The sequence below is a fragment of the Homo sapiens genome, chromosome 15 (genome assembly GCF_000001405.40).
Source record: "Homo sapiens chromosome 15, GRCh38.p14 Primary Assembly".
NCBI classification, from domain to species: Eukaryota; Metazoa; Chordata; class Mammalia; order Primates; family Hominidae; genus Homo; species Homo sapiens.
The window spans coordinates 99,435,464-99,460,929 of record NC_000015.10 but is presented as its reverse complement, the minus strand read 5'-3'; the positions used below and the strand labels follow the sequence as shown (position 1 = coordinate 99,460,929).

General features: G+C 50.8%; 3 annotated features.

Annotated features, from left to right (window-relative positions):
* Positions 7,693-8,002: an enhancer, noted in NCBI's record as "active region_10154". NCBI's record gives its function as "activates an Ori minimal core promoter by ATAC-STARR-seq in GM12878 lymphoblastoid cells {active_cell/tissue: GM12878}" and the evidence as "EXISTENCE:reporter gene assay evidence [ECO:0000049][PMID:35858748]".
* Positions 21,864-22,532: an enhancer, noted in NCBI's record as "H3K4me1 hESC enhancer chr15:99978603-99979271 (GRCh37/hg19 assembly coordinates)". NCBI's record gives its function as "activates a minimal SCP1, AML or CMV promoter by ChIP-STARR-seq in naive H9 embryonic stem cells {active_cell/tissue: H9 hESC(naive)}" and the evidence as "EXISTENCE:reporter gene assay evidence [ECO:0000049][PMID:30033119]".
* Positions 23,204-23,873: an enhancer, noted in NCBI's record as "H3K4me1 hESC enhancer chr15:99977262-99977931 (GRCh37/hg19 assembly coordinates)". NCBI's record gives its function as "activates a minimal SCP1, AML or CMV promoter by ChIP-STARR-seq in primed H9 embryonic stem cells {active_cell/tissue: H9 hESC(primed)}" and the evidence as "EXISTENCE:reporter gene assay evidence [ECO:0000049][PMID:30033119]".

Genomic DNA, 25,466 nt, shown 5'->3' with positions numbered 1-25,466 from the left:
ATCTGTTCCCATGAGGCCTGGAGGTGCATGGATGAGGTTGGTCCATGCCACCATGGCTCTCAGGCCACCACCAAGACCAGAGTGAAATGGTGTGAATATCCCACACTACAGATGCTCCTTCCCCTCATAGACTTCCCCCAGCCCCCCAACCCTAATTCTATCCCTCTACTGAGATGAGGCCCAGCTTTTGTCAGAAGCGCCAGGGACTATGGGCTGTAGAACTTGAGGCTTCTGTCCATGCCTGTTGGGGCAATGAATTTCTTGTGATGCCGGAAGGCCAACTCCATCCATGTTTCTGCAAAGGACATAATCTTGTTCCTTTTTATGGGTGCATAGTATTCCCTCATGTGTATGTACCACATTTTTTTTTATCCGGGAACCACCGATGGGCATTTAAATTGACTCCATATCTTTGCTATATAGGCTCTTGTAAAGAATGTGTGTTCTGCTACTGTGAGTCCATGTTTTTTATATATATATCATGGCAAAACATAGCATATATATATGCTAGAATTGAAAAGTTTAAAAGTCAAAAAATAACAGATGTTGGTAAGGTTGCAGATAAGAGGGAGCACTTATACACTACTGCTGGGAATGCAAATTAGTTCAGCCATTGTGGAAAGCAGTGTGGTGATTCCTCAAAGAATTAAAAGCAGAATTACCATTAGACCCAGCAATCCCGTTATTGGGTATACACCCAAAGGAAAATAAATCGTTCTACCGTGAAGACACATGCATGCATATGTTCATTGCAGCACTATTCCAACAGTAAAGACGTGGAATCAACCTAAATGCCCATCAACCTCAGACTGGATAAAGAAAATGTGGTACATATACTCCAGGGAATACTATGCAGCCATAAAAAAACAAGATTATGTCCTTTGCAGCAACATGGATGGAACTGGAGTCCATTATCCTAAATGAACTAATACAGGAACAGAAAACCAAATACTGCACGTTCTCACTTACAGTTAGGAGCTAAACACTGAGTACACACGGACACAAAGAAGAGAACAGCAGACACCAGGGCCTACTTCAGGGTGAAAGGTAGGAGGAGGAGGATCAAAAAGCTGATACTATGCTTATTACCTGGGTGAAAAAATAATCCGTACTCCAAACCTCTGTGACACACAATTTACCTATGAACAAAGTGCACATGTACCCCTGAACTTAAAATAAAGGTTAAAAAAATAATAAAATAAAATAAATTATGTATTTAGAACTTTTAAATTAATGTAATTATTGACCTATTAGGACTTAAGTCTGCCATTTTATTTTTTGTTTTCTGTTTGTTCTGTTTTTCATTTCTCTATTTCCTTTTTCCTGTATTCCTGTGGTTACTGGGACATTTTTTTTTGGATTCCATTTTGATTTATTGATAGTGTTTTGGAGTGTCTCTCTTTGTGTGGCATTTTAACTGGTTGCTCTAGGTATTACATTATATCTATATAACTTTTTTTTTTTTCAGACAGAGTCTCACTTTGTTGCCCAGACTGGAGTGCAATGGTGAGATCTCAGCTCACTGCAACTTCCACCTCCTGGGTTCAAGCAATTCTCCTGCCTCAGCCTCCCAAGTAGCTGCAATAACAGGCCCCCCCGCCACCACACCCAGCCAATTTTTGTATTTTTAGTAGAGACGGGGTTTCACCATGTTGGCCAGGCTGGTCTCAAACTCCTGACCTCAAGTGATCCAACTGCCTCGGCCTCCCAAAGTGCTGGGATTACAGGCATGAGCCACCACATCCAGCCCATTATATCTATATAACTTATCACAGTCTACTGGTGTTGACATTTTACCAGTGCAAGTGAAGTGTAGGAGCACACCTCCCTTTATATTCCTCTACCCTTTCTTATTTATAATATGTCTTAAATATTTCCTCTATATACATTTAGAAACTCATCAAACAGTGCTATAATTTTTGCTTCAATCATGAAACAATTCAGAAATCTCCAGAGGAGAAGGAAAATGTATTTGTCTATATTTTTGCCCTTTCCATTGTTCCTTCTTGTTCCTAATGCTCCAAGATGGCTTCTTTTATCATTGTCTTTCTGTTTAGAGAACTTCCATTCTTTTAGGTCTCTGGTGACAAATTATCTTAGTTTCCCTTCATCTGTGATGTCTTGATTTCCTCTTTCATTCCTGAAGGATATTTTCATGGCATATAGAATTCTGGGCTGAGATTTCTTTTCTTTTCTTTTCTTTCTTTTTTTTTTTTTTTTTTTTGAGACAGAGTCTCACTCTGTCATCCAGGCTGGAGTGCAGTGGCATGATCTCGGCTCACTGCAACTTCTGCCTCCTGGTTTCAAGCGATTCTCCTGCCTCAGCCTCCTGAGTAGCTGAAATTACCAGCACCCATCACCATGCCTGGCTAATTTTTGTATTTTTAGTAGAGATGGGGTTTCACCATGTTGGTCACACTGGCCTTGAACTCCTGACCTCAAGTGATCTGCCTACCTCAGCCTCCTCAAAGTGCTGGGATTACAGGGATGAGCCACCATACCCAGCCTGAGGTTTCTTTTCTTTCAGCTCTTAGGAAATGCAGTGACATTTCTTTTTGGCTCCCTTGGTTTTTAATGAGAAACCCAGTGTCATTTGAATTGTTTCTCCTCCAGGTAAGGTGTCATTTCTCTCTTGCTGCTTTCAATATTTTTCATTTGTCTTTGGTTTTCACTATAATGTGAAAGTTTCACATTAAATTTTACCATGATGTTTCTTGGGATAAATTTCTTTGAATTTATTTTGTTTGAGGGTCACTCAGTTTCTTGAATCAGTAAATTTATGTCTTTTGACAAATTTAGGAAGTTTTCAGCCATTATTTCTTTGAGTACTTTTTCAGCCCTCATTCTCCTCTTCTTCTGGAACTCTGATGACAATAAATGTTAGAATTTTTTAATCATCCCACATATCCCTGAAACTCTCTTGTTCTTCTACTACTACTCTTCTCCTTCTCCTCCTTCTTCTTACTCTTCTGTCTATGTTCTCTTTGTTCAAACTGGGTAATATCTGTCGTTCTATCTTCGAGTTTGTGGATACTTTTCTCAGTCCATTCTACTGTTAAGCCCATCATTGAGTTTTTAATTTCAGTTACTGTATTTTTCAGTTTTAAATTTCTCATTTGGTTCTTCTTTTTATCTTCTATTTCTTTGCCTAGATTTTCTATTTTTCACTTGTTTCAGGTGTGTTTGTAATTGCTTTTTGAAGCATATTTATCATATTTGCTTATCATATTCTAACATTTCATCATCTCAGTATTGGTATATATTGATTGTCTTTTTCATTCAAATCGAGGTTTTGCTGGTTCTCAATAAGACAAGTGATTTTTGACTGAAACCTGGACATTTGGGGTATTATGTTGTGAAATTCTGGATTCTATTTAAACCTTCTGTTCCAGTTGGTTTCTTCTGAGATTGCTCCAGCAGCAAAAGTGGAGACACTGTGCTGTCTTGTTACTGCCAGGTGGAAGTAGAAGTTCATGTTCTCTACTTGTCCTTTATTAATGCCTGGGGAGGGGGGCGGGGGTGGGAAGATCCTTGTTCCTACTAGCCCAGAGTGGCAATTCTACCTCCCCACTAGGCTCCACTGATTCCACCCCTGTGGGAGACAGGGAGGGATGCCTCGTTATTCCTAAGTCCGGGCTCTCCGTGTATTCTCCATTGACGGTGCAGTGGCAGGAGCTAAACTGTTTTCCTCTATAATACTTGCTGTCAAAAATGAAGCTGTGACGAACATCTGTGCTCCAGTGGGAGGATCTAGAGTCTTAGAGGTAGAACTGCTGATAAGAGAAAATGCTTATGACGCTTTGAGAGCAGTGCTTTTCAAATTGGGCATTCCAGTGGGTGCTGGGGACTTCATGAGGGAGCATAGGGAGCTACACGGGTGTCAGGCAGGTGGGGATTTGGGTTCTCCACACTAATTCAGCAGGAGAGGCCTCCCTCTCCCCTGTCCCATTCACTCAGCTCTGAGCCAGATTTCATTTGAAACATTAGTTCCATGGCTGAAAAAAGAGAAAGCATTTGGAAACCACGGTGAAAATATCTGAGTTTCTCTCTATTTGTGGATGTCTGTGATGATATGAATCATAATCCATCCCAGCGACGTTTCTGAGGCTGCTTGGGGAAGGAGCCATGAACCGGAGTATAACTGGCTATAAGAGCCTTTGAAAATAATGAATTTGCCATCAGATTATCTTAAAATGCAAACCATCTTGTTGCATTTAAAACAGCATTTAATTTATAACAAAGCTAATTAACACATCATTTTTCAGACACATATCAATTATGCGAAACGAGGTGCACCTGTACTAAAATTCCTTGGTTCACTGATTCGAAGAAGAACATCAGCAAGAACATCAGCTCGGATGGGCCCTTAGAGAGCAACAATAGATTTGAAATAAGGGACAAGCCAGGAGGTTGCCGGGGGGCGGGTAGGGGGATAGTTGCAAAAATGTTCTGAACTTTAAAATAACGGTCCCTTGCAAACAGAAGTTTTTTCTCCAAAGTGTCTCTCCTCCAGATCTCCCATCTACCATTTCCACCCTGCATGTGAATCTCACTTCTAGAGGCAGCTGCCTCACGTTCAGCTTACGACACCTTCAGAAGCTTTGCTAATAAATGCATATCGAAAAAGCGTTCTGCCCATGGGGACCAATTTCTTTTTCCATCACCCGTGGCTTCTCAACATGAAATTAAAGGCAGAAGCAAGTAATTGCAGCTGGTGGCAGCTCCCAAGGTTTAGCTACTGCCAAGGGATCTGGTCCATGCCTCGTCCCCTCTGTTTCTCCCTCCTCTCATCCAAGGACCAAGCAAAATATGGGGCATGACCTGCAAGAAGGTGATCCTCCCAGCTAGAGCACAGCTCTCTGAGTAGCAGTTCTCAGGAAGCCTGTGAGCTAGCCCAGCCAGGGGCTTTTCCAGGCTTTGTCTCAAGTGCAGGGCTTGGAGAAGAATATTGCCAGCCTTCAGTCCCAACTCAGGACCATCAGTGACCTCATGGGGACCTCACTTTGGTGGGAGAGGTTGGAGGATGATGCTCTCCTCCCAGGGAAGTAAGCCTAAGGGCAGATTCCTCTCTCTGCCCTGGGGGAGAAAGTAAAAGGGAGGGAGGGCTTCTCACAGTGCCCATCTGGCCCTGTGGAGAGTTGCTGGTGACATTTCAGTCAGTCATCCAGTCAAACTCATGTGTACCAAAAAAAAAAAAAAAAAAAAAAAAAAAAAGGCAAGTAGAATGTGCCGAAGGCTTGGAGTCAAGGATAGCATCATGATTTTTGGCTTGAGCTAAGAAACGATGGAGTTGCTGAGATGTTGGGAGGCGTACATAGCTTTTGGGGGTAGAAATCAGGAGTGCAGGCTTGTCAGGGAGGCAGTTGGATTTATGACCCCAGATTTCAGGGGAGAGGGCTGGTCTGGAGATAGAAATGAGGGAGGCACCAGCTGGTTTGGACATTCTTTCCCCAACGGTTTCATACCTGGCAAGGCCTCACTCCCCACTGGTGGGTTGGGTGTGTTCTCCCCCACGGGCCCTGCCCACCTGCCCTCTCTCCCTGCGGAGAGGGGCCTCCCCTGGGGGCCCTCCACTCCTGCCAGCCGAGCTCCTGGGCTGGCGAGTTCTCTCTGTGCTCAGGCCCCAGACGGAACACCTTCTGATAAGATTCCCCAGCCCGCTCACGGCTGCCCACCCACTCCAGCCAAGTGTCACGGAAGGAATGTGGTGGCAGCTGGGCCCGAATCACAAGACAGAAACTCCCAGGACACGTAGGTCAAGCCAGGAAGTGCCTCCTGAAAGGGAGAAGCCCGGACAGGCCGTGCATGGGCGGGGGCTCAGAGGAAACCAGCGCCAGTGAGTCAGCCTGCAGTTCTGTTGGACAGAGTGTGGGCTGCCAGAGAAAACAAATTCCTCCAGCAGGTTTATCTCCTTGTGGAGGAGGCCTAATCAGCAGCACGAAGTGGCAAAGGAGGGAGGCCATATGCTCCTGACCTGGCTGAGCTGCCCATGCCCGGATTAGCTGGGTCAGCCAGGCCGAGCGCCTGGTTCCAGGATGGAGGCTCGCTTCTGGTGGGTCCTGGGTAGGGCAGAGGCCCCCGTACCAAGCCAGCCAGATCCATCCCATCCTAAACCCTCCAGGGGGATGGAGCTCCAACAGAAATGAGGAGGGGCAGAAAGGAGACAAATGAAAGCAAATGTGGGTGCAGAATTTCTGAGGTGCCACAGGAAACTTTCCACAGCCACATGCTGTGCTTTCAGTGGGAAATGTGTTAGGCTTGGCAATGCCAGGGAGGGCCACAGTGCAGGGGAGGTGAATGGTGGCTTCCGGATTTGTGCAGCGCACACTCTGCCCTGCCATCCCCGGGGCCCTGGATGGAAGGTCACAATTCTTTATCTATATGGCTTCAGTGATGTTAGGAGAGGCACATTCCCATCCTCAGCAGGTGCATTTGGAGAATCCATAGCACCTAAGAAAACAGGACAGGTGGGCCCTGCTCAGTGGAGCAAGTCACCTGCCCCTTAACAAGGACCACATGTAACCACCCTCAGTTCTTCCTCCACTCCTGCTTCCTTCTCCAGGGGTTCTCAGAGTGTGGCTCCCAGTCCGGCAGCACCAGCACCACCTGGGAACTTGATAGAAGTGCAAATTCTTGGGCCCTCCCAAGACCTGCTGGATGGGAAACTCTGGGGTGGGGCCTAGTTGTGTGTTTAATAGCCTCACCCCACCACCTTCCCCCAGGAAGAAGCATCTTTCTCCCCTACGCAGCCTGGGGACAGGCAGCTCTGGCCTTGGAATCACTAGGGGAACTTTTAAAAGTGCCCGTGCCTGGGTCTCACCCCTACAGATTCAGATTTCTCTGGTCTAGGTTTTAGCCTGGGCATCAGGATTTTTGGCTGTTTTGCAGGCTGAAAGTGCTTCTGTGTTCTGGGGTGCTGGGCTCAGGGTCATCACCTGGAACCACGAACCATGAGATGGAGGCTTGCACTTGACACCTTGCAGGTCTGACCCTCATGCCTGGGGAGACAGCTCAGCTCAAGAGAGGTGCTTGTCTTCGGCGTGCACCGGAATCATGCCTGGGGAGAGAGCTCAGCTCAAGAGAGGTGCTTGGTCTTCGGTGTGCACCAGAATCATGCCTGGGCTGTGAGGGGGGTGCCCAACCATGCAGATTCCTGGGAATCTTCCCCAGACATCCCAGTTTGGTAGGCCTGGAGTGGGGCTGGGGAGTGTGCATCGTGAGCAATGTCCTGGGTGATTCTGATGTGTGCTCAGGGATCTTCCCTTTGAGAGCCACAGAACAGGGACATCTGAATGAGGTTCTGCTTCCATCTCTACCACTCACCAGCCACAGGCCCCCAGCAAGCCCCTTCACCTATGGTTGCTTTGTGCGTAACTTGGGGAAAACAGCAGCCTCCCTGGACCCCTCAGCACAGTCCTGAGACCACATGGATCTGGGCAAGACTGGCCGCTGTGGATGGCAGGACAGACAGAAGGAACTGCTCGACTGTCCTCCGGCCACCTACAGTTGGCCTGCGTGGAAGGAGTAATACTTACTGAGACTGCCCAGCAGAGGTGGCGAGTGTCGTGGCCGAAAGACCAGGCCCAGAGTGCGTGGGTGCCACTCGCAGCTCCCAGCAGCCGCAGGGAGGGGGCTGTGGGTCCCAGGCAGGCTTTGGGGTGCAAGGCAGGAGAAGGGGCAGGCCCTGAGGTCCCAGGAGCTGGATCTGAGACCAAGAGGCTGCAGGCGCCAGGGAGCTCCTGTTTTCTGATGGGCTTCATGACCTTTGAGACTTCAAGTTCTGTTCAGCTGCCCCTGACCACAGCCGACCACAGCCACTGAACCTGACAGGAGTTTCGTTTTCTTATAGAGCAAGTCCAGAAGCAGGCAGGGCTGGTGGAGCCACATGAGGAAGTGCTGGGGATCCAGGCTCCTTTGAGCATCCGGCTCTGCCATCCCAAGCATAGACTCTGTCCTCAGAGTCGCCAGATGGCCACCCCCAGCCGGACTCCGCTTCTGCATTCAGGCAGGAAGCAGCGAGGAGACAGGGCGGTGGCTGTGTCTGGAACACCACACTTCCCCAGGCGTCCCGGCACCCTGCCACGTGCAACTCACTGGTCAAACTGGATCCCCTCCAGGTCTCAGCTTGGGGGAAAGCTGAGAAATGTGGCTGCCTGGAACAAAAACCAGGTGGTGAGGTGGGAGGTGGAGGCGGGGCAGGAGCGGAGTGGGCTCCTGTCTGGTCTCAGTGGACTCGATGCTCCTTGCCACCTTGGCCACACACAGCAGGGTCACAGTGACCCCACTCCCAGATGGCCACCGGGCAGAACAGGGCCTCCTGCTTCTCGACACTGGACTCACAAAGCCTATAACATATCCCCTGGCTAGAAAGAGCTCACTGAAGTCATCACAGCCAAGCAGTGTGACCTGGGATGCGTCTCTGTGCCCAAGAGCCATGGTTCCCCTGACATTCCCGACTACCCGTGGTGCTTCTAGGAATCAAGTGAGGATACGATTGTGAGAACAACTGAAGGGTTAAAAGGCTGGTAGAAGTACAGAGGATGAAGCCCTGACTCAACCATTGCCCACCTCCCTTCTTCCTCATCATCCCTCAATTCAGACCTAGGTAGGATTTGCCTCTGACCAGGTAGGATTTGCACTCTCACCCTCTTCAATTCTGTTGCTACCACGGGGCGCTCGTGTCTCCCTCCAGCAGTCACTGGCTCTGGAACGAGGGTCCGATGTCTCTGTGTCCCGCACACCGCCAGGCCCTGCGATTAGGTGGCAGGGCCTCTGCCCTGCTCCAGGCCGCATGGGTGTCTGAACTTGGCCGTCTCGTGGCCTTTCTCAATTAGCATTTCTTCACCTGTACAGAGGAGATAATAATGTTGCCTCAACCCAGGTGGAGGCTAGGAGGAAAGGCAAACAAAAGACCTAGCAATGGCAAACCTAAACAGCCCTGGAAATGCTTCATAATCAAAATGTTTTCTCCCTCTTTTGAAAGCAGAAATGGAGGGAGCATGTGAAGGATGGACAGAGGGGAGATGGGTCACTGCTTCCCTGGGCAGAAGGAGAGAGGAGGAGGAAAGGGGGAGGTGGGTTGCTGGAGGCAGGTCGGGAGGGGGCTGGGAGCAGCCCCTCTGTGAGGCTGTGAGGTGCATGAGAAGGGACCGGGTGGCCAAGGGACACTGCCACTCCACTCAGCAGGTATGTGCTCCAAGGCATTGTGTTACTACATGATTTTCAGGACACTGAGGGTGAGATGTCCCTCTCTGGGCTCTGCATGGTGGCCACCAGCTTCATAGGGGTGCTGGATGGGAGAGGACCGTGGGCATGACTCAATTCCACTTATTTAGGGGCAAGGAGGGCAGAGAGTGTCTAGAACCTCTGAGCAGGGAATTTGGGTTGCCACAGTGATCAGAGCCCCACTGCTGGGGCCTCCTCCTGGGGTGACCTGGAGGTTGTCCCAAGACCCTGCCTTCACCTTCACAGCCAAGAGGTTCAAACGGGGTTCATGAGACAGAACCGGCCTTCTGAAGGAGGACTCCAACGTCCTCTCCTCCCAATGCACAGTTTCATTCTTGGTTTTATAATGGCAAGTCTCTGGGTGCACAGGCTCCTGCAAGTCGGGCTCTGAGCTTTCTGGCTCGTCACAGGGAAGTCATAACCTTTCCACAGACACAGGTGTCAGCGTTCCTTTTGCACATCCTCTAGCTTAGGGGGAAGGAGCGGGAAGCTGAGGCTGAGGCTTGTGATTATGCAACCAGGAAAGGGCTGCTCTAGTGCCGAAAATAAGGGTTTGGAGCTCTGCTCTTAGACAGAAGGCTCAAGGGGCGGGGGTCTGGTCATTGTCTTCCAGTGGGTGGGAGCTTTGTTCTAAGCGTGGCTTATCCTTCCTGTGAGTAGCTGACCTCACTGCGGAGAGGCGGTGGTTGGAACGAAGCCAGAGAGACGGGGCTTAGACACAGGGAGTGGTTTCCCGACCGACAAGGTGAAGACAACAAACCACTGGCGTGGGTGGAGAAGAGTCTGGCCCAGGGATCATTTTCATAAATTATTATTTAAAAAATACTATAAAACCGATACTTGCACATGGTGCCCAAATGTGAACACTACGGTAGGGCTTCTCAAAGTGGGGCTCCTGGAGCAGCAGCAGCGGCTGCAGCCTTGCCTGGGAACTTGCTGGAAATGCAGATTCTGCCTCCTCCCCACCTCACCACTCACCGCCAGACCTGCTGAATCAGACACCCTGGGGGTGGGCCCAGCAGACTGTGTTTGAACAAGACCTCCAGGGGACCCTGAGGCACCAGAGTCTGAGAACCCTACGATACAGAGTGGAGACCACAGAAGGCAAACTTCTTACTCCCAGGGCCGTTGCCTGGAGGTACCTTCCTTTATTCACGTTCTCACACAGATGGGATCACTCCCAGCACCACACTGCTCAGCGCTCCACACTTTCACCTAATAAATAGATCTTAGATCCACCCACCTTTTGCCAACTCCAGAACTTAGGTATCAACCTCATTCTGCTTTTTTTTGTTTTGCTTTGTTTTGTTTTGTTTTGTTTTGAGACGGAGTCTTGCTGTGTTGCCCAGGCTGGAGTGCAATGGTGCGATCTTGGCTCACTGCAACCTCCGCCTCCTAGGTTCAAGTGATTCTCCTGCCTCTGCCTCCCAGGTAGCTGGGACTACAGTTATGCACCACCACGCCCAGCTAATTTTTTTTTTGTATTTTTAGTAGAGATGGGGTTTCACTATGTTGGCCAGGCTGGTTTCAAATTCCTAACTTCAGATGATCCACTCGCCTCGGCCTCCCAAAGTGCTGGGATTACAGGCGTGAGCTGCCACGCATGGCCAACCTCATTCTTTTTTATACCTGTGTAGAATTCCTTTCCAGGGGAAGAGGGGCATAATTCATTCAGCCATTGCCCCATCCATGGCATTTAGGCTGTTTCTAGATGGTTACTCTCTCAAAGGCTGGTGCCGTAAGCATTCCTGTGAGTCTGTTTCTGGGGTAGATAACGCCTAGTAAACGCATTGCCGGGTGGAATGGTGTTTGCAGTGCCAATTTTGCCAGAACCTAGATAGCCCTAAAACAGGCTCCATCAATTTATATTTTCTCCCAAAATATAGAAAAAAATTCCCTTTTGCCGTTCTTTCATCAGTACTAGAATTGTGAGTCTCTTCCATTTTGCCAATCTGACAGGTGAAAATGGAGAGTCAGCATTTTGATTTGCATTTCTTTAACTATGAGTGTCCTTGGGTGACTTTGCACGTAGAAATGATTCATAGCCAATTCTATTTCTTCTGTGAACTGTCTGCTCACAGCTTTTCTCCCTGCCTCCCACCCCATTTTTCCTTTGGGTTGTTGTACTTTTTCTTATTGATTGGAAGAGCTCGTTGTATATTAAAGAAAATGGAAATTATTGTATATTACAAGTGGTTTTCCCTGGCACTTCTTTTGTCTTTTGTCTGAGTTGTGGCGGTGGCCATTATTATTGTTATTATAGGACATGAAGCGGTTTCTGTGAATGATGTTAAATGTATCTGGTTTGATGCTTCTGGTTGCGTGTTATGTTTTAAAAAGCTTTTTCCACTTTGATATATATTTTTTTAAATTCACGTTTTCTTCAAGTTCTTCAAGTCCAAGCCTGAGCTCCAGGACTAGACAATTTGGGTTCAAATCCTGGCTCTCCTGATTCTTGGGTGACTCCATGCCTCACTTTTCTATTCTGTAAAGTGGGGATAAGGAAACCTGCCTCATAGCATCAGGTTGGGTGTGTGCTTCTCTAGGGGAGGCCTCCTCAAATGCTCAACTGAAGAAGGTTAATCACGCCTGTAATCCCAGCACTCTGGGAGGCCGAGGCGGGTGGATCACCTGAAGTCAGGAATTCGAGACCAGCCTGGCTAACAAAGTGAAACCCTATCTCTACTAAAAATACAAAAAAAGAATTAGCTGGGCGTGGTGCTGCACACAGCTACTTGGGAGGCAGAGGCAGAAGAATCACTTGAACCTGAGAGGCGGAGGTTGCAGTGAGCCGAGATCGCACCATTGCCCTCCAGCCTGGGCGACAGAGCAAGACTCTGTCTCAAAAAACAAAAAAACAGGTTAACTTGAAAGATTCCCTGATGCCCCACTGGAACCGGCACCTGGATCAGACGGCCTTTCACAATTATTTCCAGGATCTCCCGGCTCGGAGAACAAGAGGCTTTCCCTGCACCTGGACACATGACTGCCTCCTTCACTGCTGCTTCTCCACCTAGACGGGGGAACTCCCCAGGAAAGGGGTTCAGGTTCTGCCTTGGAGGTTGGCAAACCCTGGAGGAATTGTGGGGTCCCTGGGAGACTGTTATGGGCTGAACTGCGTCCTTTTTCAAAGTTCTTGTTGAAGTCATAACTCCCTGTACTTCCAAATGTCACCATATTTGGAGACAGGTAATTAAATTAAAATGAGGTCATTGGGGGTTACGAATCCAGCCTGACTTGGTGTGCTTAGAAGAAGAGGACATTTGGACACAAAGGAAAGATAATGTGAGGACACAGGAAGAAGGTGGCGGTCTACAGAGCAAAGTGAGGGGCCTCAGAAGAAACCAAGCCTGCCAACATCTCTATCTCAAACTTCCAGCTGCCAGAATCCTAAGAAAACATGCTTCTGTTGTTTAAGCGACCGGGTCTGTGGTGTGTTGTGGTGTGTTGTGGCGTGTTGTTAGGGCAGCCAGAGGAGACTAGCAGAGACACCGTCCATGAGGCCTCCCTGCCTCTGCTTCTCTAGGCCCCAAGCTGGGTGGGGAGTGTGGATTATCTGGGTGTCTTTTACCCCTTATCTGATGCTGCAGACCATGACCCAGGTGCAGACAACTGTTCTCTCCGTTCTCTCTTTCTCCCCTCCCACAGTCACCCCTCTCCCCCCACCGAATAATATGAAAGACAATATGTGGGGCTTTGGGTCTGGACGAAGATCAAAGCCAAAGGACAGGTGCTCAGGCAGAGTGTGAGGAGGCTTCCTTCACTGGGCGAGGATAGAGACATCCACGTGGACCTCCCGAAAGCCCTGGCAGACCCCCAGAGGCCTGCACGCAGCTGCAGCAAAAACAGGTGTGGGGGCCGCAGGAAGCTGGCAGCCTCCATAGGCCCCGCGCTGGGGAGTGCAGCACAGCGGGTGGACGGAGGTTAACGTGGGGGAAGAGTGATGGGGAAAGCGCGTGGCACCTGGCTCTAAGATTGCGGGTCCTCCCTGCAGGCTGGCCCGGAGATTGTGGGCGGGGCCTCCTCGGGGCAGTGGGCGTGTCCAGGCACTGCGCTAACCCCGCCCCCCGCCCCCGTGCCTCCCCTTCCTCTGTCTCTGCAAGCATGCCAGCTTGACCCCAGAGCAATGGGATGTACAGGGAGGGGCAGGAAAATCCATCTCTGGGGGAGATGGATTGCAATTTAGAGGCTTCTCCTGAGCTTCAGGGACGAGGAGCCGCAGGTCAGAGTGGAGGGTAAACCTGCTTGGAGACCTGATGCCTCCCTTCACTGTCCCGCGGGCCCAGAGGAAGGGTTTTCATTTAGGGCCAGGGAGGGCAAGGGCCTCAGAGCCTTCCACAAAAAATGAGGACCCTGCCTCTCTAAGACGCCCGGACCCCTGCATGGTAGGGAATCCCCGGCCCCAATTCCAGGGCTGAGCTGGGCTGGGGGCAGGGTGGTTGGGGTTGCAACTCTCCTCCTGCGATCTGGTCCTGAGGCCCAGACAGGCCCGAGTGCTGTCCCCCACTTGGCTCTGCCCGCTGGCGAGGCTGCGTCTGCTAATGAGCTGCCAGCTGCTGAGTGGCTCTCAGCAGCTGCCCTGTCCCCGCCCAGGTGTGTGCGCCCCAGGCGCGCAGGCAGCGGGGAAGGCCGAGCGCCACTTGTAAAAGGTAATAACCCATTGCCGCAGGATAATCGCCCCTCCAGACAGGCAGACTTGATCTCATTAGCGATCCTGCAGAAAGTCTGGAGAGGACTCCTGCCCCCGCTGGGTAAGGGCGGCACTCAGGACGGAGAAGGTGCACCATCTGCTTCAGGTGCGAATGGGACCAAGCTCCAAGTTTCCTGAGAATATGGAGGCAAAGGAGAGACAGGGCAAAGAGAGAGGAGGAGACTCACACTCCCAGTGCTCCCTGTGTGCGTGTCCCCGCCTGGCTGGTGCCTTGGCTATGCAAACCCCGCGTGAGCAAGCTGGACTGCCCTTCCTCTGTGGACCAGACGAACCCTCCTCTGCTGGGAAGAGCTCTCGTCCAGGCCATCGCTTCACCCTGGCTCTTTCCTCTGAGCTCCTGTAGTGCTGTTGCCTGCACCACTGGGGCTGAAGGAAAGAATCGCCAACACCGCACTGCACTGGGGATATCTCTAAACTTCAGGTTCCATGATTTGCCCTGGGTCATATGTGGCCAGTGTCTGCTGGTTTGCTGGATTCCCCTCTCCTAATCCCTTTCTGCTATTCTAGGGATATTAACCTTTTTCTGGAGCATGGACACTTTTTGAGAACCTGATGGAAGCTATGGACCTCTTTCTAGAAAAATGTACATAAAATATAAAATGTCTGCAATGTCAGGGCGTCTGTGGATTCGCTGAAGTCCATTCAGGGACTCTTCAAGCCAGTGGTTTCTAAACTTCAATGTGCATCAGAATCATCAGGGGCTTGTCAAAAATACAGATGTTCCAGCTTTACCAGCTGGTCTGGGGTGACAGGGAATCTGCATTTTGGCCTGAAGTTGTTTAGATGCTTGTTCTAGACCCGTACTTCAAGAAACACTGCTCCGTGGCCAAGCGCCACGGCTCACACCTGTAATCCTGGCACTTTGGGAGGCCGAGGTGGGGGGATCACCTGAGGTTCAAGACCAGCCTGGCCAACATGGCAAAAACCCATCTCTGGTAAAAAAATACAAAAAAAATAGCCAGGCTTGATGGTGCGCTCCCGTAATCCCAGCTACTTGGGAAGCTGAGGCAGGAGAATCACTTGAACCCAAGAGGCAGAGGTTGCAGTGAGCCGAGATGGTGCCACCGCACTCCAGCCTGCATGACGGAGCAAGACGCCATCACAAAACAAAACAAAACAACACAAAACAACAAGAGCAACAACCAGAAACACTGCTCCGGCCGTCTGTGGAGCCCAAGTGAAGACCTCGTTCAAAATCATCTCCAGATGTACAGGTCTTGATGTCCCAAAGGAAACTGCAAGCTCCCTTACAGAAGGGACCGAATCTTAAATCTCTGTACCCAGCCCCAGTGCCCCAAGACCTCATCCATAAGTACTCATTGTTTGCCAAAACTCCTTAACGTTCCCCAAAGAGGACTCTGGGGAAAATCACAAACCAATTGATGTGGGCAGACTCTTTCTTCTTGTAACCCCAATGGGGCCAAACAATGTTGCCTTGTTGTGATGTGATGTGATGAGATGAGATTCCATCCCCTACTCTCAATTTTTCCACCATTGGCGGCACTTAGAAGGGTCTTTGCAAAGGCAAAAAGAATTCCCAGGGCTCATGGCTTTCCTGCCCGGCTGCACTAGCTGTGTGTCAGCTACCAGTTCAGTCAGGGGGACGGTGTGTGCTGGCGTTATTATGCCTCGGTGTTTGCTAGTTTGAATCTGGAATTCTAATCTGATTGACTAAGTAACTTTTACTCTAATTAGAATAGTAGGGTTTGTTCTTAATCTGCAACCATTTAATCTTCCGTCTCATTAATTGCACAAAGGTCTTTATGAATATGTAGATTGGGAAGGAAATAAAAGATTATTTGACCTTGAAGAAACACATATAAAATAGGTATACACTCTCAACCTCCTGTTCCCTTTTATTATGCAGATGTGAAAACTGGTAAGGCTCCAAATCAGGCTACTGTCGGTTATCGACAATCTTGCAGCCAATTAGGATGCAGCATTCTGATGAGCCATACAAGTTTAATAATTAGTATAGTATTTACATGTGAGCTGCTTGCTGAGAATTTGCATGTAAATAAAAATGTGCCTATCAAAACCAGTCAGCAGCAGCCCACTGATGAAAAATGTCAAAAAGGTCCAAAGTAAAACAGAAAAATGCTGTGAAGGAAGGGGCCATATGTCTCCAGCCTCAAGTTGAGTCCTCATTTGAAGGGTAAATGGCCTTCTGAGTATACCTTGTGTCTTGCCTTTTAGAGATATGGGTGATTTGTTCTCTGAAAAGTTTGGAACATAATGTCAGACAAGCTGACTGGCTGGTTAAAATTCTGACCCTACCACCCACCAGTTGGGAACCTCTCTGAGTCTCAATTTCCTCATCCGTAAAACGGGGAAAACCGCTGGGCATGGTAGCTCATGCTTGTAATCCCAGCACTTGGGGAGGTCGAGGCAGGTGGGTCACTTGAGGTCAGCAGTTCGAGACCAGCCTGGCCAACATGGTGAAACCGTGTCTCTACTAAAAACACAAAAATTAGCCAGGCCTGGTGGCAGGTGCCTGTAATCCCAGCTACTTGGGAGGCTGAGGCAGGATAATCACTTGAACCTGGGAAGTGGTGGTTGCAGTGAGCCAAGACAGAGCCACTGTACTCCAGCCTGGATGACAGAGTGAGACTCTGTCTCAAAAAAAAAAAACAAAAAAAAACAAAAACGGCAGGGGGAAACCCCACCTTTCTTACAGACCTGTGTGGCTTAAGTTAAATAACATTGAACATGTTATTTCCTGGCACAAAAAGACTGCCCACAAAATGTGCATTTATTTATGTGCCTATTTCCTTTCTTCCTTCTGACTATATACATGGAAGACTAGAAAGTATTTTCTCTGCAGCTGAATTGACCCATAGGGAGAAACTTGTTCTTGTCTCCAAGGAGAATGCTTGGAGGGAATAATGGCTCTCTATTTAGCAAACCACTGGCTTTTCTTGTGCCAAGGAGGGTTTATAAGTCAGAGCGAGGGAGACAGAAGTTCGTGGTTTGCTAGGGTGGCACCTGGCGTGATTGTCAATCACCCTAATTTCACATTCAGACTGCCCAGTGTGAACCATGACCGAAACAGTCACGTGTGTCAGAGCTGAGCTGCCCAGGACCTCCAGCAAGGTCTTGAGAGGCCGCGTGGAGGAGAGGAGGGGTAGGCTGGGCAGCTGTTTGGGAAAGAGCGGGCACGGCTCCTGGCTGGGCGCAGTGGCTCACACCTGCAATCCCAGCACTTTGGGAGACCGAGCCGGGTGGATCACCTGAGGTCAGTAGTTCGAGACCAGCTTGACCAACATGGCAAAACCCCATCTCTATTAAAAATACAAAAAATAAAAATTAGCCAGGCATGGTGGTGGGTGCCTGTAATCCCAGCTACTCAGGAGGCTGAGGCAGGAGAATCATTTGAACCCAGGAGGCGGAGATTGCAGTGAGCTGAGATCGCACCACTGCACTCCAGCCTGGGCAACATAGTGAGACTCCGTTTCAGGAAAAGACAAAACAAAACAAACAAACAGAAAAAAATGGGCACAGCTCCTGAGGAATTGCTATGCTCCTGCCCTGTGCTGGACCACGTCTCTCCTGGCTCCCCAAACAGTACTCTACCCCTTTTATACTAACCTGTTGTGGAATTAGGTCTCTCTGCAGGATATAAGGATTGCTGAGGGCAGCCTCAGGGCAGGTGCATGGAAAGAAGGTGGAGCCACCCACGGGAGCCCCGCACTTCCCTCACTCCAGGCGCTAGTGTTTAGCCAGTACTCCCAGTGATGGCTGCGCTGGTTATGAGGACCCTGCCATCTTTCCAGACTATGGCCCAGTACCCACTGCTGTGCCCCCATGGTTGGCTGACCTAGCCTTTCTCCAGAGCCCCCAGGGGACCCAGCATCTCGAAGGTTAACAGCTTCACCCCACCCTGAAGTGGGCTCCAGGGTCCAGCACCAGCCCATCCATTGTCATGTTTTCTGATTGGGTGACTGCTCTCCAACACCAGTACATGTGGTGATATCACGTCTTTGGTTACCTATGTCTGCACCGAGCTCAAAATTCATCTTTGCCGTAACATTTGCAATGGCAATCCTGTCTTTAAGGAGACTCAGCCTCATCACCCTTCAAGGGGAAACCCCGTATGCTCTTTTCCAGCGTGGTCCCGTGAGTATTTCCGTGAATGCTGCGAAGGGGAGAGTTAGCCACCGAAGCACCCACTCTCGGCTCAATGATTTTGTACCAGGTGCCTGGGGTGTTGGGGCTGGCAGGGAGAGGGCACGGCTTGGGAGGGGAGGGTTTTCCTGGCTAGCGCGGGGCGTGATGTTTGGCTCCTGGCCTTTGACATAGTTGACTAATCCTTTCCACTGCCAGAAGCCTGCAAGGAATGGCATGTGTGGAGAAGATGGGGTGGGGGTGGAGTGTTCTGAAGCAGAAGAAGGCAATCACATGACTATTATTGCTTTTAATCTTTACATGTGGAGCAAATGAGAGCTGAGAAATTTTAAGAGTTAATCAGCAGTTTTCAGATGACATAGCTCACATTCTTTTTTGTATTCAAACGCCAGCCAGAGAACTCTGGCAAAAAGATCAAGTCCATAGATGCTTGAGTGGTGGAAAAAATAGTGACACAGTTTTTCCATTGCAAATCAAAAAGATATGATCTTATGTTAGTACAGGGAAGTGTTTATGAGCAGTGGCATTAAAGGGAGCAAAACAAAAGTCGGTGTATATATACCAATTAAAAGTGTGTACAAACAGCTCTAAGCACGTCAACAAAGCTCAGATGCGATCACAAAGCTTTGCCTCTGGTATAGCATTGGGCTCTCTTTTGAATGCAAAGTTGAGTTTTAAATTGTTCTGGTAAACATTAATCAGCAATCTGGACCAACTGTTCCAGGAGGAGGGTGGCATTCCCAGGGGCTATCCAAGTGTTTCATGGATGTCTGGTGCCAGGTCCTTTCTCTGAGCCCCAGCACAGGTGCTGAGACTACATCCCCCACTGCATGTGGTGACCCACCTAAAGGCAACTGCAGATGGGGTGGGTTTACAATGCTCTCCAGCATAGGAGAGTGAGGGGGAAGCAGGATGCCGAACCGTGCACATTGCACAGCTACTGCCTGTGCCCAAAACACACCCAACCAAAAGGGACGAATATGTCCCAGAGTGCACAATTTGCCTCTGTCGTCAAGTTGGTCTTCAGGGAGTAGAGAAAAAGCTTGGGGATGGGAAAGAATGAGGCTTCACTCAATGCCATTTTGTGCCATTTGAGTTAAAAAAAAAATACAAGCATTTCCTATTGCAAAAAGGAATTTACTAATTATTTAAAATATTTAAATGGGCCTCATCAATGCATACAGCTGGGCTCCAAACAAGATGCCCTTAGAACAGTTAAACCTCGTCCACACCCTTGAGTTCCCAGAGGGATTCCGTTCCCCACCCTCTGCCCCAGTAGTGGCAGCCTCCTCGGCTCCCTGCGCTTAGAGACAGCGTCTCGAAGGATCCATCCTTGAGCTCTTCCTTTCCCAAAGTCCTCACACCCACATTGCTTTCAGGAGAAGGAAAGTGATTGTGGGAATGAAAAAAAAGCAAAAAACAGGCACTGTGCTTAACAACAACAAAATCCAAGATAGCCTTTTGCAAATCAAAAAAGAAGCTGGAGATAAACGTAGTTTGTACTTAGTATAGACAGGAGACGGAACATCCTCTTCCCCCAACTGAGGAGGGGCATCGGAGCTGGGGCAGGCCGCAAGGTGAGCCAGACTTCAGGGAGGCTGGGAGGCTTTGGGTGGGAGAGCAAAGTGGAGCATGGAGTCAGGGGGTAGGGTTGACAGATAAAGTGGAAGACACTCAGTTAAAACCGAATATCAGATAAACAATGATTGTTTGTAAAGTATGTCCCATATATTGCATGGCGTTGCTGTAGAGGAGGAAGCCTCCACACAGGTTCCGGGTGGGGATGTACTGGGTGAGCCCCCCCACCCCGCTACAGTGACACTGCAGACCGTTGTTCTGCTGGAGTCGCTGTCGTCCCACCTGGCATGAAGCCAAGCATCCTTAGAAACCATGATTCCAATGTTCTCATGTTATACATGAAACACCTGAGACCCAGCGGGCTTAAGCAAATTGCCTAGTCGCTTTATAGTTATCCACCCAGTAGGTGGTAGATGAGATTCTCCCTGAGACCAAGGCCTCCTGCTTACACCAGGAAGGTGTGGTGGGTGGCAGGGGTTGCCGAAGGCTGTGAGTTGCCGCCGCGGCTGCCTGAGCCTGACTCACACTCAAGTGCTCAGGCTGGTCACCACCCAGATGAAGGGGTTCGGGCTTCACTGGGCATGTTCCCTGCCCTGCCCTGTGGGTCTCACAGTGTCAGGTTCATTTTCAGTCTTTCAGCTTTGGAAGAGCTTTGGAATGTCATTAAGACATTCGAACCCCTTGCTGGAACCCAGGTTGGCGTCAGTCTCCATGACCTATCAGTGTGACCACCACTAGTGGCATCTAAACCACTAACTCACCCACTGGGGAGTGTGAAGCCCCAAGGTAAAATGCCACCTGCCTGGAACAGATGCCTCCCCACCATGTTCGTTGTGGGCCTGCTTCCAAATTGGATCACAAGAAAGCAGAGAAATGGAGGAACAACCAAGTCTAGAAGTCGGGACCACCTTGACCTGTCCACCTTACTGGACAGGAAGAGGAGTAGGGAGGTTAAGTCCCTTGCCTAAGGTCACCCAGGTCTTGAGCGGAGGAGCCAAGAGTCGCACCTGGGGAGTCTGACCGCAGATCCAGAGTGCTGAGTAACTCTTGGCTAGTCCATCTTTCCAGATGATCTCCGTGGTCCCCGGGTGATATGGGGACTGCAGTCCGCTCAGTCCCCCCGCTGCTAAAAGGCTGTGCAGGATGAGATTCTCCAGCCGCAGCTCTATGGAGAAGCCCTTCACTCCTGTCTCCATGCTCAGCCACCCCAAGTGGCAAAGTTTGAGGAGAAAGCTGTGCACCCTTCCACCCTCTCAGGTCTGAAAGGAGCCTTTTGAATCAAGGGTATGTGGTGGCTTGGCAGGAAAGACGGGGAAATTCAGAGCAAGAGCAAGATACAAAGATGCATCCACAGACCCTGTGAGGGATGGAAAACCCAGTGCAAGCGGGCTTAGGCAAAAAAAAAAAGAAAAAAAAAGAAAATGTATATCCCTACTACATTTCTGTGAGGTGGGCTCTATTTGAAGCTCTATTTTGTAGATGAGAAAATGGAGGCGAATGCATTTAAAAAGCTTGCCCACGCTGACATAGTGGGTGACGGAGCTGGGATGGAACTCAGGCAGCTGGGCCAGCAGCCATGACACCGCCCGGGAGTTTGTCAGAAATGCAGAGCCCCAGGCCCCTCCTCAGACCCTGATCAGAGGCTGCTCCTCACAAGGCCCCAGATGATTTATGTGCTTGGTCCAGCTGGAGAAGGTGGCCCCGGAGAACCGTCACATGCTCCTTCTGGGTTTGTAGGACCACGCAGCCGAGATGTCCAGGGATCTTTGTCATTCTGTCGACTGCTGTGTCTCCAGCACTTAGAACAATGCCTGGCATATAGTAGGTGCTCAATAAATGTTTACTAAGTGCGTTAATTGAATCTGAGTATGGCTGCGTTTAGACTGAGCTCAGAACGACCTCAAAGACCTCGGCGAGGGTTTCTGCCTGGGCTGGTCCCCTTCTCCCCAGCCATCTTGATGGAAGGCCGGAGGGGGATAGGTCACTGGACGGATTAGTCATTGTTTGGGATTATCTGTTTCCCTCATTAGTGGAGCTAATCACCCAACGTTGGATCAAATCACAAAAATCTGTGAAACCCCTGGGAGCAGCGCCTCTTCCAGCCACGATCCTCATTTCTTCCGTTTGTTCATCAAACCTTTCCCTCCTCGGGTACCAGGGCTGCTGTTTGGCCACTCACATACCTCAGGCTCATTTCACATACCCGGGGGTTATTTCAGCCACATCTCTCCAAGGCTGCGAAGGTTTTATTTTTGTTCCGTGAAAAGCCTTCAAAGCCCTCACTCTGAGCTTTGAGTTTGGTGTGGGCAATTTGAAACATTTAATGGGAATTGTTATGTTTTTTTTTCAAGAAGGAATTATTCTCAGCAAAGTCTGGGACTGGCCGGAAGGAGACAGCCAGACATCTCCAGGTGGAATGAGCTTCCTGCTGTTCTCGGGGAAATGAAAGCAAAACGCACAGCCCTGCTTCCCACCCCCGTGCGGGGCCTGACCCCAGCCTTTCATGTGCGGCAGCCACAGGGAGGAGAGAAAGTACAAAACCAGAACAAACCCCCCAAAGTCAAGGCTTGAAATGAAACCGTTTCGTGATGACAATACTCTGTTCTTCTTTAAACTCTACCCAAGAACAAATGGAAGTCCTTTTTTCCGTGGAAAGACTGGGTTCGGGCTTTCATCCTCAGAGGCCTTTATTTTGGGTGCCTCCCCCCTTCCCTCCTTTCGCTCGTTATTTGCACCTTCTCGGAAGCCAGTGGGGGTATTGGGAGACAGGAGCCTCCCCCGACCCCCGTCCTGGCCGGAGGACCCACCGCCTGGGCCCGGTGACGCTGGGTCTTGGGCTGCCCTGGCCGGGGGATAATGAGGGGTCTGCTTTCATGCTGGTGTCAGGGAATAGGGGAGTCCAGGGAAAGGGTGGTGCCGCTGCCCTCTCCCCACCCCCAAAACAGGATGCTGCCTGCCATCTCCCTTTCAACCTGTGTGAACAGAGAGGGTCATAACACAGCTGGGGTAGCTGGCTGGAAATCTGGGTCTTAAAATAAAATATTGTCATCCAGCCCACTTGGCCAGTGTGACTTCAGTCCCCATGTGGACCAGCAGGAGGGCGGCATGAAAGGCTGTGTGAGCCACTCGGCCCTTCCAGCTGTCCTGAGGCCCAGGATGATTCAGGAAAAAGTGTCTAGGCTTCAGGGTTGGATACTGCTAATTATTCCGGCGGAAAAGCAATCGCACGTGGCTAAAGTCAAAGGTTGATGTTTCTCCAGGCACCAGACTTTAAAACCCGGGAAGGGCGGACAGGCTGGTGTGGCCCTTGCCTTGTTTCCTTCAGCCTGGCGCTGAGCCCTCCTGGTCCAGGCTTCGGGAACTTTCTGCATGGAAACAGAAAGCTGGAGGGAATAGGGAAGCCCTGCCGAGGGGCCCGCAGGAGCACAGCATAGCCCAGGAACCAGGGATCAGAAGGGGGTCCACAGGGGCGAGAGTGCCCAGGGGAACCTGCAGGCAGCCCAGCCAATCCCCCTGAGTCACCAGTGGCTGTCAGGTCTCTCGGGTGCCGACATCCTCCTGCCTCGTGTTACGGGCCTTTGCTCAGCGCTGACCTCATCTCCCTCCCTGGGTCCTGGGTCCTGGGTCCCTGGAGGGCTGAGACCCCCAGTGTGCTGGGCCCCAATCCTCCCAGGCTGGAGCAGGCGGCCTCCCCAGATAGGGTTGGAGCCGCTTTCCTCACCAGCTCTGCACCCCAGACAGACTCCTCTCCCCCAGCCTCGGTTCTTGCCCTGGCTGCCTGATGCCCAGGCTACACTGCAGCCTGATCCCTGGTGTGGTGCTGAATGCTCCAGGTAGGGAACATGGGAAAAGCCAACAGCTGCTGCTCTCCCTACCAGGCAGTCAGTCATCCTGGGCAGACACAGAGAGGAGGGATACAGGGAGAGGTCGGGCAGGGAGAGCTGGGTCACGGACAGCAAGGAGGGCCAGAGTGCCCCTGCCAAGAGCCAGTGCAGGCTACAGAGGCCCAGGGACGCGCCATCGTGGAGGGGCTGTGCTCTGTCTCTCACTTAGCACCACCCTTGCTTGCCTGTGGACCTTACTCTCCGGTGTTGGACAAGCTTTCCCAGGAGTAAGGGACATTCCATTTGACTTCCAGAGCCAACCCTCTCAGCCTAGTGCCAGGGAGGGAAGGGCTCTCTTCATATGCGCCCACGCTGCATGAGGCCGGGGGCAGCTGGGCCTGGCAGACCCCCAGAAGTACATGGGGGGCAGAAGACAGTCCCCAGAGGCAAGGGTGCTGGACAGAGGGGAGGAGGGATGCTGAGCCAACCCCAGGGCAGTGTCCCCACTTGGCATATGACTTGGCAACATCTACAAAGGTGGCCGTGGGACATGGCCCTGGCCCATGGGTCACTAGGCACAGCGCCCCACCCCACTCCCCCGCATCCAGTGCAGCAATGTCCGGTCGCTGAGAAATGCTGATGGAACCCTGGACAGCAGGGGTCACAGAAGTCAGGCTGGGGGTCACCTTTCTTCCAGCACCGTCTTCTGGTTTTACGTGTGAGGAAAGGGAGAACCAGAAAAGTTCCGTCACCTCGAGGTCACACTCAGATTAGCATCAGGGGCTCCTCCTACCCAGGTCCACACCCCACAGAGGGGCTGTCAGGGCCCCCCACGGGCGCAGGAGAGCGAATGTGGGGCTTGCGCAGGAGAATCTCTCTGCAGGCAGAACTGGGTCCTCTGTGGAGGGTCGGGGGGCACCTGCCCTGGCCGGGGAGGGGGAGTGAAAGAAGTCAGCATGCCTGGTGGCTGAGGGTTCGGGGGAGGCGCCTGGGATGCAGTGGGTCTCATCATGGAACATGAGGGGAGGATCAGATCTCACGGGCTTGAGATGGTGTAGGGGTCCCAGGGGCAGGGGGCAGGAGGGAGTGGCAGCTCTCAGGAGGTTTCAGCCCTTTCTGGCCCCAACTGGTTTCCCTTTCCTTTGAAGCCCTCCCATGGGTGAAATCAAATATGCTTTTGTGCCCAGTCTTGCTGGACTCTGGGGCCAAGGAGGGCAGCATTGGGGCTGCTGGGGGCTCCACCCCCTGCACGACGCCTGTCCCTGCAATGACTGATTGGCAGTGGACAAAGCGGAGCTGAGGATAGAGCAGAAGGGGCTGGCAGGGGTGGGGTGATGTCACCCTGGACTCCAAATGGTCCAATGCTCCCCACAAACCTGGGTGCCAAGCCCAGCTCCCTCTCAAACCTCTGTGTGTCTTCTAGGGAGCGAAGTATCCTGATTCTCAGCTTCCGCATCATTTTTCTAGGACAATAAAAATGCCCTGGAATCTGGGAATCTGCCCAAGGAGACAGAGTCCTCCCTAAATGTGCCATTTCCTTCTCTGGAGCCAGGAAGTAGAAGGAGAACGGAACTTGCCTCTTCTTACCCAAGTATCTCTGGGCACGCTGCTTCCCTCCTCATCTATAAAATGAGACAGCAGATGAATCAATTCCTTTCTTGCTCTCTTTTTTAAAGTAACGAGACCTCATTCCTGAAATGAAATCTCATTCAGAAATTTCAATATAAAACAGAAGCAGCGCTGCCTGGCTGAAGTCAGGGTGTGTGGGATGGAGGGGTCAGGCCAGGGGCAGGAAGCCCACCAGGTTGGCCTCCTCTTTGCCCTGCAAGCTGCCTCCACACCCTGCCATGAAGCCCCAGGGTGCCAGGGAGCCTCAGTGTGAAATTCACTCTGACGACTTAGAACTCTCTGGATCCAATTCAGATGCAGCAAACAGGGAAACAGCTTCCAGGAAGCCTCACCCTCCAGTGGCCAAGAAGCCTGGGGCAGCGTCCCTTGGGTGT